The sequence below is a fragment of the Homo sapiens genome, chromosome 19 (genome assembly GCF_000001405.40).
Source record: "Homo sapiens chromosome 19, GRCh38.p14 Primary Assembly".
NCBI classification, from domain to species: Eukaryota; Metazoa; Chordata; class Mammalia; order Primates; family Hominidae; genus Homo; species Homo sapiens.
In genome coordinates this window covers 49,125,047-49,137,813 of record NC_000019.10, presented here as the reverse complement: position 1 = coordinate 49,137,813, position 12,767 = coordinate 49,125,047, and the positions used below count along the sequence as shown (strand labels likewise).

Here is a 12,767-nt window from a genome sequence, read left to right as displayed (position 1 = left end):
AGGGCATGGACTCATTTGGTATGGAAAGTGGTGGTCATGGTATATTTGCCGAAGGCTCATGGGGAGTACATTATAAGAGAATTGCTGAATATGGCCATTGCTGGTGAATCAGGGTAGACTTTACATCACTGGGGGCTTCTTAATAAGTTGGGGACTTTTTTTTTTTTTTTTTTTTTTTTTTTTTTGACACGGAGTCTCGCTCTGTAGCCCAGGCTGGAGTGCATGGCACTATCTCGGCTCACTGCAAGCTCCGCCTCCCGGGTTCATGCCATTCTCCTGCCTCAGCCTCCTGAGTAGCTGGGACTACGGGCGCCTGCCACCATGCCTGGCTAATTTTTTGCATTTTTAGTAGAGACAGGTTTTCACCATGTTAGCCAGGATGGTCTCTATCTCCTGACCTCATGACCTCATGATCCGCTGGCCTCAGCCTCCCAAAGTGCTGGGATTACAGGCGTGAGCCACTGTGCCCAGCCTGGAGTTGAAGTTTTTGATTAGCATGTTAGGATGAGATTCTTGGTGTTTGAGGTTGGGAACCTTGTGTTGTCTTGAGATTCCTAGGGTAGTGGGAGACTCTGGGCACTGGTTATGTGAAACCACAAAATCGATGGCGTAATGGAAGATTCTTGATGCATCAAGAGGAACTGGGCTATTTGGGGATGCAGGCTTTGGTGTGTTGGGGAATGGTGAGTACTGGCTGGGGGGTATATGTGTAGGTAGCACATAGAAGACTTCTGAGTGTATCCTAGGGGATGCCTGGACAGCGGAGTGAGTGTTGGGCTGGAAGAATTCCTTGTGGATGGTGTAAGAGGAGACGGACTCAGGCTTTCAGGCCTCCAGAGCCAGAAGGGCTGTGGAGTCAGCTCCGGCAGGGCAGGGCAGGCCGGGGCGGGGCCAGGGCTCACTTGATCTCCTTGTTGATGGCCTCCAGCTGCTCCTGAAGCATGATGGCCAGCGTCTGCACGTCAGCCTGCCCACTGGGGGACAGCAGCTCGGCCCCAAACATCCCCTCTGCCTCCTCCTCATCGGAGCCGTCCAGTTCCCCAGGGAATGGGGGTGGTATGGAGCCCGCAGGGGCAGACCGCTCCCAATCCTATCCCTGTGTGGGGACAGAGGGACATTAGGTGGCTGGGGGCCGAGGTTGGCGCTGGGTCTTGGCTCATGATCCTGACTTGCCCGACCTCACTGATGCTTTTCCCAGCCCAGCTTTATTTTTTTTATTTTATTTATTTTTTCTTGAGACAGAGTCTCATTCTGTCGCCCAGGCTGGAGTGCAGTGGCGCAATCTCGGGTTACGCCTCCCAGGTTCGAACGATTCTTCTGCCTCAGTCTCCTGAGTAGCTGGGATTACAGGCGCCCGCTACCACGCCCGGCTAATTTTTGCATTTTTAGTAGCGATGCCATTTTGGCAAGGCTGCTGTCGAACTCCTGACCTCAAGTGATCTGCCTGCCTCGGCGCCAGCAAGTGTTGGGATTACAGGCATGGGCCACCCTGCCCGGCCTCCAACTTCCTCTCTTGACAGGTCCCTGTTCTTGATCCCTCCCCAAATCCTCTCCAAGCCACGCCCACACCCATGACTCCACCCCCGCCCCTGATTCCCATGACTCAGCTGGCTCCTGTTCCTCACCTAACCCCACCTACTCTGGGATTCTACACACCCCTCCCTGTCCCATGATTACTCTCAGGTTCTCACCAGGTGGCAGGACATCCACAGGAGGAGACATCCAGGCAAGAGGGTTGCAGGGAAGGAGAGAAGAAAGGGTGAGTGGATGAGTCCAAGAGATCCTGCCTCTCAACCCAGCTTCCTCCCGGAGCCCCACAGATTTAGTTCCACTTCCTACAGCTGCCCGCCCAAGCCCTGCTCAGTCCAGGACCCAGAGGCAGCTGCTGACCTTGGAGGGCTCCTCCTTGACCCCTGACCAGCGGCCCCTCTTGCCTGCCCGACCACTGCCAGCCACATAGGGATCCAGGTGGGCACCAGAAGGTAAAGTGGGTGCCTGAGAGTAACGGAGCTCCAGGGCACTGCCAGGGAGAGACCTGTGGGCATGAGGAAAGCAGTCAGAGACCAAGGGGTCAGGAAAAGAGCACAGAGGTAAGGGTCACAGAGACAGACCTAGGGCCAGGGGTCCTGAAGTCAAGGTCAAGGGGCCAGGCCTGGTGGCTCAAGCCTGCAATCCCAGCACTTTGGGAGGCTGAGGTGGGCAGATAACTTGAGGTCAGGAGTTTGAGACCAGGCCAACCTGGTGAAGCCCTGTCTCTACTAAAAATAAAAAAAATTAGCTGGATGTGGTGGTGGGCTCCTGTAATCCCTGCCACTCTAGAGGCTGAGGCAGGAGAATCACTTGAACCGGGGAGGCGGAGGTTGCAGTGAGCTGAGATCATGCCACTGCACTCTAGCCCAGGCAGCAGAGTGAGACTCTGTCTCAAAAGAAAGAAAAAATAAATAAATAAAGTCAGGGTAAAAAACCAGAGTGGGCTGAGCACAGTGGCTCACACCTGTAATCCCAGCACTTTGGGAGGCCGAGGGGGGAGGATCACTTGAGGCCTGGGGTTCCAGACCAGCCTGGCCAACATGGCAAAACCCCGTGTCTACTAAAACTACAAAAATTAGCCGGCTGTGGTGGTGCACGCCTGTAGTCCCAGCTACTTGGGAGGCTGAGGCACGAGAATCGCTTGAACTCAGGAGGTGGAGGTTGCAGTGAGCCGGAATCGTGCCACTGCATTCCAGCCTGGGCGACAGAGTGAGACTCTGTCTCAAAACAAACAAACAAACAAACAAAAAACAAAAACAGAGGGGTCAGAAGTCTCAGGAGGACAGGAAGTGGGGATCAGAAGGGAGGAGCTTGGCGCTTGGCCAACGGGGCTCCATGGTGGGGGCAGGGCAGAAGGGCTGCTGTCACCTGGAGTAGGAGGATGGTGGCCTCCCCCGCAGCTGGTCGATCTCCATCTGCATCCGCTCCATTTCGGCCAAGAGCTGCTCCTGGGGGCCGGTGTTGGAGGTGTCGGGTTAGAATCTGCTCCGCCCAGGAGGAACAGCCCCTGCCAGACTTGCAGACCCTAGCCTCAGCAACCACTGCCCCAACATCCTCCTCCTGTCCCCTCAGGGCCCCCTACCTTGTTTAGCAGCAACTCATCCTGAAGCTTCTTCATGTTGGCTATCTCCTCGCTCAGGGAGTTCTGTGGAGACAGAGGTGAAGTGAGGGAGTGAGGCCTGAGGGGCCACGCCCGTGGGGCTGCAGGCAGCTCCCAGTGCACACAGACAGGCCTGAGGGGACCCAGGAGGAATGAGATGGACACAAGTGGTGAGTTTCGGGGGAGCAGGGGCAACGATGTTTCTGGGGAGAGAAGCCCCGGGATGCGACGTCCTGTGCAATCTCAGAGGGTTCAGGGTTTGGAGACCCATGGGGTTGGAGGCTTTGGGAAAAGTCAAGGACTCGAGGCATGGGTGCCCCAGAATTCGGCTCTTGGAACGTCTAGAATAGGTGAAAAAGCGGTCTGGGCAATAGAGCAGAGAAGGCTGCCCAACTCAGGATGCCGGGGTTTAGGGAGGCCTCCGATAACAGATCTGAGGGAAAGGCCTGGGGCCCCAGGATTCCAGCAAGAGGTAGTCCCGGAATTCCGCGTCCCGCAGTCCTGTATGGGGGGCGCACCTTCTCCTCCAGCGCCCCCATGCGCTCCTTGAGGTGAAGCTGTAAGCGCTCGTTGGACTCGCTCAGCAGCTTGTCCACCGTCTCGGACAGCCGCTTATTGTGGTCATCGTTCATCTTCTCCCGCTGCCGGGCCTGCGCAAAGCAGAGCGGGGCGGGTTGTTAAGCCCACCCTGCCCAGACCACGGCCCTTCCTCTAAGCCCCACCCCCGGGCCCAGCCCAGCCTCCTTATTAAGCTCCGCCCCAGCCTCGAAGCCCCACCCTCTGTGCAGTCTTCCGCCCCCTCACCCGCTGCAGCTCTTGATTCTTCTCTTCCAGCTGGGCCTCCAGCTGCCGAAGCCGCTCCTCAAAATTCCCATGACGTTCCTCGGCCTAGGAGATGGAACCCATGGCGTGTGACTTACCCTTCCAGGATCAGTCAGGCTCCCAGCCCCACCTCCTCCAAGGCTGAGCGCCAGGCTCCGCCCCCACAGCGCCAGGCTCCTCCCCTGCACCTTTGAGTCAGGCCCCGCCCCTGCGCCTAGTCCACTTTTTCAGGACCTGTTCCTTCCCTCTCAGGTTCCAGGCCACCGGTCCTTTCAGTCCAGGCTAGAGAACCCCGCTCCCATCCGTCCCCCGCGCAAACCTCCAGGCCCTCCCCATTCCAAGTCCTGTCCCTTTCCCAGCCCCTAGGCCCCACCCTTTCCCCCAAATCCGGGGTTCTGACCTCGCTCCTACCCCTCCAGATTCACGGCCCCGCCTCCTCTAGGCCCCACCCCTTCCCCACGCAAGGCCCCGACCCGAGTCCTCCCCGCACCTTGTTGAGCGCCGCCACGCGCTGCGCCAGCTGCGCCTCTATCTCGGGCAAGGTCTCCGCTTTCTGCAGCGTCTGCTGCAGCTTCTGCTTGGCGTCGTCCAACCACTCGGCCAGCTGACGGCTCTTCTCTTCACTCTGGGGGAGGGAGAGGCAGGGGGAGGGGACGGGCTGGGTCACTTGGGCCCCGGCACCGCCCCCATCGCCCCTCCCGGCCGCGCCCCCACCTGCCGATACAACGACTCCTTGCTAGCTAACTCGTTCTCCAGTTTGTCGTTGGCGTCGTGCAGAGACGTGGCCTCCCGCTGGGCGCTCAGGTAGCGCTTCTCCAGTGTTGTAATCCGCTCCTCCATATCTTCCCGCTGCGCCAGCGCCTGCGGAGGTAGCAAAGGGCCCCGTGGACTGCGAGCCCCTGGGGGAGAGGACGGGGAACCCCCTTGTTCCCTGGGAAACAAAGTGCCCTGACATGGGAGTCAGAATGGTGGTGTCACACCCGCTAAGAGCTCCCAGGACTAGCCCATCTTAAGTCCCTGCCACCTACCTGCGAGTTAAAATGGTGATGCTACACCTCCCATGAGCTTCTAGGACACTGCAGGCTCAGATCCTCCAGGTTCAGAGGATCTGAGGCCTGTGGGATGTGAAGTCTCCACTCCAGCCCTCTCCTCAAAACCCAGGCCTTGGATTTCTCACTAATTTCTGGCATAGAGCAGACTTAGAATCAAACAGCAAGTGTCCTGGGGTCTCATGGGAAATAAGGATCCCTTCTACCTAGAAGGCAACACCTCTCAAGAGCTACCAGGGTACCAGAGGCCTAGAACCCCAAAAGAAGTGCTTCAACTTCTTATGGGAGATGGACCCTCATCTGGTAGCCCACGTGGTGGGGCTACATTTCCCAATAGCCCCTGCGGCTATCCAGGCTTAAAATCCCAGATGAAGGTTCTCTCTCTCTCTTTCTTTTTTTTTTTTTTTTTTTTTTTTTTTTTTGAGAGAGAGAGTCTTGCTCCGTCACCCAGGCTAGAGTGCAGTGGTGCGATCTCGGCTCACTGCAACCTCCACCTCCTGGGTTCAAACGATTCTCCTGCCTCAACCTCTCAAGTAGCTGGGATTACAGGCACCCGCTGCCATGCCTGGCTAATTTTTGTATTTTCAGTAGAGACGGGGGTTTCACGATGTTGGCCAGGCTAGTCTTGAACTCCTGACCTCAGGTGATGTGCCTGCCTTGGTCTCCCAAAGTGCTGGGATTACAGGCATGAGCAACCAGCACTCTGGCTGGAGTGCAGTGGTACGGATCTCGGCTTACTGCAACTTCCACCTCCCAAGCTCAAGTGATTCTTATGCCTCAACTTTTTTTTTTTTTTTTTTTTTGAGACGGAGTCTCGCTCTGTTGCCCGGGCTGGAGTGCAGTGGCACTATCTCGGCTCACTGCAAGCTCTGCCTCCCGGGTTCACGCCATTCTCCTGCCTCAGCCTCCCGAGTAGCTGGGACTACGGGCGCCCGACATCACGCCCGGCTAATTTTTTGTATTTTTAGTGGAGACGGGGTTTCACTGAGTTAGCCAGGATGGTCTTGATCTCCTGACCTCGTGATCCGCCCGCCTCGGCCTCCCAAAGTGCTGGGATTACAGGCGTGAACCACCGCACCTGGCATGCCTCAGCCTCTCTAGTGGCTGGGACTAAAGGCACCCACCACCACGCCCGGCTAATTTTTTTTTTAAGTAGTGACGGGGTCTCGCTATGTTGCCCAGGCTAGTCCTAGTGCTCACTCTTCTTTCTCATCCACTGCCTTCAAGAATCCAGGTCCACATTTCCCAGCAGCTCCCTGGGGTCACTGGGATTAGGATAAAGCGGCCTAAGCCAGAAAGGGGTGAAATACCCACAAAACATTCCATTTAGAGGCTGGACGCAGTGGCTCACACCTGTAATCCCAGCACTTTGGGCCGAGGCGAGCTGATCACTTGAGGTCAGGAGTTCGAGACCAGCCTGGCCAATATAGTGAAACCCCATTTCTACTGAAGATACAAAAAAAAAAAAAAAAAAAAATTAGCCAGGTGTGGTGGTGCACACCTGTAGTCCCAGCTACTAGGGAGGCTGAGGCAGGAGAATCGCTTGAACCTGGGAGGCAGAGGTTGCAGTGAGCCAAGATCCCGACACTGCACTCCAGCCTGGGCGACACAGCTAGACTCCATCTCAAAAAAAAAAAAAAAAAAAAAGAGGCTGGGTGCGGTGGCTCACTACTGTAATCCCAACACTTTGGGAGGCCGAGGTGGGCGGATCAAGAGTTCAAGACTAGCCTGGCCAACATAGTGAAACCCCATCTCTACTAAAAATACAAAAAAAAAAAAAAAAATTAGCGGTGCATGGTGGCAGGTGCCTGTAGTTCTAGCTACTTGGGAGGCTGAGGCAGGAGAATCTCTTGAACCCGGGAGGCAGAGGTGGCAGTAAGCCAAGATCACGCCACTGCACTCCAGCCTGGGCGACACAGCCAGACTCTGCCTCACAAAAGAAAAAAAAAATCCATTTAGAGGCACCAGAGAAGAACCCAAAGTTAGGTAACAAAGTAATTACGAGCAGTTATGGAGCGCCTACTCTGCGCCACAGGCTCACCCTCTGATGAGAATCATACATTTCCTTTCACAGGTGGGAAAACTGAATCTCAAAGAGGAGTCACCCAGCCTGTGGACTGAATCGAGGTTCCGCCATTCATGAGCAATGCGCGAGGGAGAGCTCTACGGAAAGGCGAGGGACCCAGGGCAGCCCGCCTCCCTGGGGGCCTCACCTCCTTGAGGTCGCGCTGCAGCTTGGAGTTGGCTTCCTCTGCCTTGCCCAGCTCACGGTGCGCGGTGCCCAACTCCTCCTCCAGCTGGCTCATCTGACGGCACAGCACCGCCAGGCGCTCCCGCAGCTGGCACACCTCGGCGCGCTGCCGCTCCAGGGCCTCCTCCAGCTCTGCTGTGCGCCGGTTGGAATCCCCGCCAGGACCCAGGCCATTGGCAAGAGTCTGGAGTGAGGGAAGGAGGGGACAAGATCCCAGAGTGTCTCCGGAGACACAGAGGAAATCCAAGGAGAAAGTCAATCAGCTGAAAGTAGATCAAAGATCAATAAGGATCATGCTGGTCAGAGTCCACGGGGGTCAGTGAAGGAGGTCACAGAAGTTCGCTAGGTGACCTGAATCAGAGGTCCAAGCTCTGTGACACTCTTACAGGTGCAGCCGTCTTAGGGCCAGTGAGGATGATACCAAACGTTACAAACACTATCACAAAGTCAGGGAGTTGAATGGAGCTCACGGAGAGGGGACTTCCATGTCTCACCTGCCCATCCCCATCCTTGCCCGGCTCTTCCAGCCCTGACCGCCGCCTAGACAGCTGTTCTCGAAGGTTCAGAGTCTGGAAGTGTGAAAGGGGAATCAGAGCACAGGGGCTCCCTGAACCCCCAGCTCTAGTTCTCACTGGCATTGGCCCTCTAAGGGGATAGGCGGCCCCATATGAGATGCCTCCGGTCGTGCTGGGGCCATGCCTACCCCACGGTTTACCCTTAGGCTCCCTCCCTCCTTATATCCCTCCTTAGCTGCCACCACGGAGGGCGTCTACCCTTACTCTTCCCCTTAGCCTCCTGGACAAAGTTTCCGCTTTAGCCCCGCTTTTCCCCATTCAATCACTTCCTCCTTAGTCCCAGCCTGAGCCCCAGCCCCTGGTTCTACCCTTAATCTCACTCTCACTGGGAGATTCTCCCCGTAGCCCTGCGCAATGCGTGCCCACTTAGGAACCCCACTGGTTTCTCTCCATAGTCCAACCCCATAGCTTGTCTGCCCTAGTCCTGCCCCAATAGATTCTCTCTGGAACCCACCCAACCGGCTCCGCCCCGTGGGCAGCCCCTTAGCCCCTCCCCTTGGATTCAAATTCCCTGTCTTGGCCACACCCACACCTCCTGATTGCTCAGTTCCAGCTCCTCCTCGAGCACTGCCACGCGCTCCAGCGCCATCCGCAGCCGCTCCCGGACCTGGGGATCGGGGCAGGGCAACAGTCAGCTGGAGACAAGATCCAGTTTAGGACAGTTGCCCCTGGTCCAGAACACCCCTGGGACGGATCCGATAGGGCAGCGTTGGGGCTCCTGTCTCCATAACGGGTATGCAGCCGCAACCAGCTATCCAATCTGCCCCATCCACTGTTAGCCCCCATCCTGGTTTATTTTTCTGCTATCAACCAGTCAGGTCCCAGTCTATGTATCCTGTCCCAATCAATCACAGTCAACATTCTTCCAACTCAGAACATCCCCAACCAATCACGGCCAGAATCTCTCCCACTCAGAACAGCCCCAGTCAACTATAGGTTTCCATTCTCCACCCCTGCTCTTCTAATTCTCATACCTTCTCATCCAGGGCCTTGTGGTGCTCGAAGAGAGACTTTAGAGCTTTGAGCACTTCTACCTCCGAGGAGACCCCACCCGGGGACTGGGCCTGGCGCTTCACCACGGTCATGCGCAGTGACCTCTCGTGCCTGGACACCAGGCACTCCAGGTGTTCCAGGAGCAGCTGCAAGCACACGGCATGGGGTCAAGGAAAAGAGGCAAGGGAAAAGGGGCAGATGTGAGAAAAAGGGTGACAGGTAGGGCGGACACATGGAGGAAAAGATGGAGCCATATAAAGGAGCACCGAGACAGGTCAGGAAAAGAGAGGAGGTCGGGGTCAAGGAACCGGTGGTACAGAAAAGAGAAAAGTTATGGAGACAGGGAGGAAGGAGTGGCACCAGAGTGGGAGACCAGCCAGGAAGTGGGAGCAGGGAAGAGGAGAAGACAGAAAGGCGAGATGGGGGAAAAAAATAGGTCACGCTGCAACACTGAGAGGCCCCGCCCCCCACTTCAACACCACGAGGCCCCGCCCCCACTTAGGCCCCGCCCTCAACACCCCTCACCCGCGTGTTGTTCCGTTCCGCCTTCAGCTCTGCAATCTCTTCCTCCCTCTCCAGCAGCTGCTCCCGACATAAGTTCAGCTCCTTCGTCAGAGCTGCAAACTCCTGTCCAGACATTGGCAGGATCTGGACATTCGGCTCAATCCTTTCCCTGTCTCCTTCATTCACTGGGACTGGAAGTTTGAAGGTCCCGCCCTCCCTGCTAAGTCCCGCTGTCCCTTGCCACTCAGGCCCCGCCCATTAACGGCAAGCCTCGCCCAGACTCCTCCCTTCCAGGCGCCAAGCCCGGCCCCTTCCGGACCGCCTTCTTCCCCCCGAGGCCCCGCCCCCTCATGCCCCGCCCCTGTCCCGCCCAGACCTGGGGCAGCGCGATGCTGAGCTGGCGCTGCAGCGAGTCCTTCTCGTGGCCGAGCTCGCGCAGCCGCAGCTGCGCTGTAGCCAACCCGTCCTGTGCCTCGCGCAGCGTCTCCAGCAGGCGCTCGCGCTCCGTGAGCATCGTGACCATGAGGCGCTCCAGCTCCCCGCCCGCCTCGTCCGGGCCCAGCGCCGAGCCCCGCCGGCCATCCTCGCTGATGGTGGGCATCACCTCGCACATCATGGCGGCGGTGCGGGCCTGCGGGGCGGGGAGGGCAAGGAACAGACCGGCCTTGTCAAGGCACAACAGAGAAACTGAGGCACAGCCACTCGGATACCACGTAGGGGAAATAGTTGGGGGCAAACCAAGCACTGCACAGAAGAAACTGAGGCCCAGGCACTGTGATCATGACACAGGGAAACAGGCACCGCCACCCTGTCACTCCACCGGGGAAACCAAAGATTGGCCACCAGGTGCTGCCAGGGGAAACTGAGGCCTATTATTATTATTATTTTTTTTTAACAGGGTCTCACTCTGTCACCCAGGCTGGAGTTCAGTGGCGCGATCACGGCCCACTGCAGCCTGAACGACCCAGACTCGAGCAGTCCTCCCAACTCAGCCTCCTGAGTAGCTGCGACTACAGGCACACACCAGCATACCTGGCTAATTTTTTTCTTTTCTTTTCTTTTCTTTTCCTTTCCCTACTTTCTTTTTTTTTTTTTTTTTTTTTTTTAGCTGGAGTGATCTGTCACCCAGGCTGGAGTGCAGTGATGCGATCTCGGCTCACTGCAGCCTCCACCTCCCGGGTCCCGGTTCAAGCAATTCTCCTCCCTCAGCCTCCCGAGTAGCTGGGATTACAGGAACCCGCCACCATGCCCAGCTAATTTTTGTATTTTTAGTAGAGACAAGGTTTCACCATGTTGGCCAGGCTGGTCTCGAACTCCTGACCTCGTGATCTGCCCGCCTCGGCCTCCCAAAGTGCTGGGATTACAGACGTGAGCCACCGCGCCTGACCTTTTTTTTTTTTTTTTTTTTTGTGGAGATGAGGTCTCACTCCTGGACTCAAGGGATCCTCCTGCCTCAGCATCCCAAAGTATGCCACTGTGCCTGTGCCATTGCTCTTAGGAAAACAGTCCTGGCTACCTGGGTGAGAGGATTTGGGAAAACTGAGGTCAGACTCCAACAGACAGTGGCAGCAAACCTAAGCCTAGCCCACTCAAAGGAACCAAAGCTGGCCGACCCTGGTATCGTATGAGTGAATGTGGAGAAAATCAGTGTCTACCTATTCTGGCTCTACTGAGAATCCCCCTCAACCCACTGCATGGGTAGGAAAACTGAGGCCCAGACCAGAACCATGCCTTAAGAAGGCCACAGGGCCAAGGGACCCAGGATTAGGTCACTAGGATGTGGTTACCTGTATAATGTCACAGGGTTGGTCTCACCTACTAGCCAGCCCAACTCCTGCCTCCTTCAATTTCCCAGAAATCTGGACCCCGGCTCCCTAAGAATCTAAAGACCTACTCCATTCGGGAAAAGAAAAAAAAAAAAAAAAAAAAGCAAGGCCAGGACTGGGCGCAGTGGCTCATGCCTGTAATCCCAGCACTTTGGGAGGCCGAGATGGGCAGATCACTTGAGGTCAGGAGTTCAAGACCAGGCTGTGCAACATGGTGACCCCCGTCTCTACTAAAAATACAAAAAAAATTAGCCGGGCATGGTGGCATGCACCTGTAGTCCCAGCCACTGGGGAGGCTGAGGCACAAGAATCGCTTGAACCCGGGAGGTGGAGGTTAGAGTGAGCCGAGATAGCACCACTGAACTCCAGCCTGGGCAACAGTGTGAGATTCCATTTCAAAAAAAAAACACAGTAACGGCCGGGCAAGGTGGCCCACTCATGTAATCCCAGCACTTTGGGAGGCTGAGGCTGTTGGATCACGAGGTCAAGAGATTGAGCCCAGCCTGGCCAACATGGTGAAACCCCATCTCTACTAAAAATACAAAAATTAGCTTGCGTGGTGGCACGCACCTGTAGTCCCAGCTACTCGGGAGGCTGAGGCAGGAGAATCGCTTGAACCCGGGAGGCAGAGGTTGCGGTGAGCCAAGATCGTGCCACTGCACTCCAGCTTGGCGATATAGAGAGACCCAGTCTCAAAAAAAAACAAAACAAACAAACAAACAAAAAAAAACAAAAAAAATACCAGTATGGCCAGGACCATGCTTGTCACTTCTTCACCCTCTTCACGACCCAGAAGTCCAAGAACTAGCTCCCGCCTCCCTCAGGTCACAGGAGTCTAAGACCCAGTCCCTTTCGTCTCTCAGACCCCAGGAGCCTGCGCCTCCAGCCCCCACCTCCCCATTCCCAGGAGTCGGAGACCGCACCCCTCTCCTCCCCTAAGAGACAACAGTCTGGGCTCTCAGCTTCCTCGCTTAGACCCAGAAGTCCCAGGCTTCAGGCTCCTCCTCCCCCAGGCCCCTGGGTGCACAGCTCCTCCTCCAGGACCCAGGAGTTCTGGGACGCTCCCACCAACCCCAGCCCCAGCCCTCTTGAAGCTATACCCAAGGGCGGGGGACAAGGAAGGGGCGGGGTTTCTGGGGCGGGAAGCCTGGACTTGGGTCCCTAGAGCCAGGGGCAGGGCGGAGATGAAGCCAGGCCCCCTGAACCGCTCCCTCCACACACATCAGGTCCGACGGGTCCAGCTGGCCCGGCGGAAAGCAGGAGGGACTTTCACTCAGTTCCTTCTTTTCCTTCTCTCCCTGCGGGCAACGCATAACCGGTCTGAGCGTGGATAATTCCCAGCCCCGCCCAATATGCGGACTGTGTCCAAAGCCTGGGAATGGGGCCTTGGACTTCTGTGAGGAGAGGAGGGCCTGAGGGCCGTGGGCCCTGGGAGAGGAGGCAGCTGGGTTCCTGTCCCCTTGGGTGTTTGAAGTGGTGCATCTGAGAATCTAGGCAGGCGAATCCCAGCACTCAGAGGAAAGATTCAGGAAAACGATTCTAAGAGGGCAAGCCAGCCATAGGCAAAAAACCAACATGATCTCTATTTTTTTTTTTTGAGACGGAGTCTCACTCTAT

General features: G+C 56.6%; 1 protein-coding gene across 7 annotated transcripts in view, besides 3 other annotated features; it reads right to left on the bottom strand.

The window, feature by feature from the left end:
* PPFIA3 (PPFI scaffold protein A3) overlaps positions 1-12,767 on the bottom strand; it is a 31,483-nt gene that overhangs the window by 13,213 nt on the left and 5,503 nt on the right. For all 7 annotated transcript variants that reach the window (XR_007067023.1, XR_007067024.1, NR_103842.2 and 4 more), the window contains exons 2-15: positions 9,701-9,955; positions 9,346-9,447; positions 8,802-8,966; positions 8,360-8,434; positions 7,747-7,821; positions 7,215-7,436; positions 4,667-4,813; positions 4,443-4,577; positions 3,935-4,018; positions 3,649-3,780; positions 3,113-3,175; positions 2,899-2,978; positions 1,891-2,035; positions 903-1,090 (exon numbers count right to left, since the gene is read on the bottom strand). Coding sequence is in view for 4 of the 7 variants with exons in the window: in XM_047439582.1 (XP_047295538.1) it covers positions 903-1,090; positions 1,891-2,035; positions 2,899-2,978; positions 3,113-3,175; positions 3,649-3,780; positions 3,935-4,018; positions 4,443-4,577; positions 4,667-4,813; positions 7,215-7,436; positions 7,747-7,821; positions 8,360-8,434; positions 8,802-8,966; positions 9,346-9,447; positions 9,701-9,940 (1,853 nt within the window). In the remaining 3 variants the exon portion in view is untranslated. The remainder of the gene's footprint in view (positions 1-902; positions 1,091-1,890; positions 2,036-2,898; positions 2,979-3,112; positions 3,176-3,648; positions 3,781-3,934; positions 4,019-4,442; positions 4,578-4,666; positions 4,814-7,214; positions 7,437-7,746; positions 7,822-8,359; positions 8,435-8,801; positions 8,967-9,345; positions 9,448-9,700; positions 9,956-12,767) is intronic.
* Positions 486-992: an enhancer, noted in NCBI's record as "H3K4me1 hESC enhancer chr19:49640079-49640585 (GRCh37/hg19 assembly coordinates)". NCBI's record gives its function as "activates a minimal SCP1, AML or CMV promoter by ChIP-STARR-seq in primed H9 embryonic stem cells {active_cell/tissue: H9 hESC(primed)}" and the evidence as "EXISTENCE:reporter gene assay evidence [ECO:0000049][PMID:30033119]".
* Positions 4,540-5,184: an enhancer, noted in NCBI's record as "H3K4me1 hESC enhancer chr19:49635887-49636531 (GRCh37/hg19 assembly coordinates)". NCBI's record gives its function as "activates a minimal SCP1, AML or CMV promoter by ChIP-STARR-seq in naive H9 embryonic stem cells {active_cell/tissue: H9 hESC(naive)}" and the evidence as "EXISTENCE:reporter gene assay evidence [ECO:0000049][PMID:30033119]".
* Positions 9,542-9,941: a silencer, noted in NCBI's record as "silent region_10914". NCBI's record gives its function as "represses an Ori minimal core promoter by ATAC-STARR-seq in GM12878 lymphoblastoid cells {active_cell/tissue: GM12878}" and the evidence as "EXISTENCE:reporter gene assay evidence [ECO:0000049][PMID:35858748]".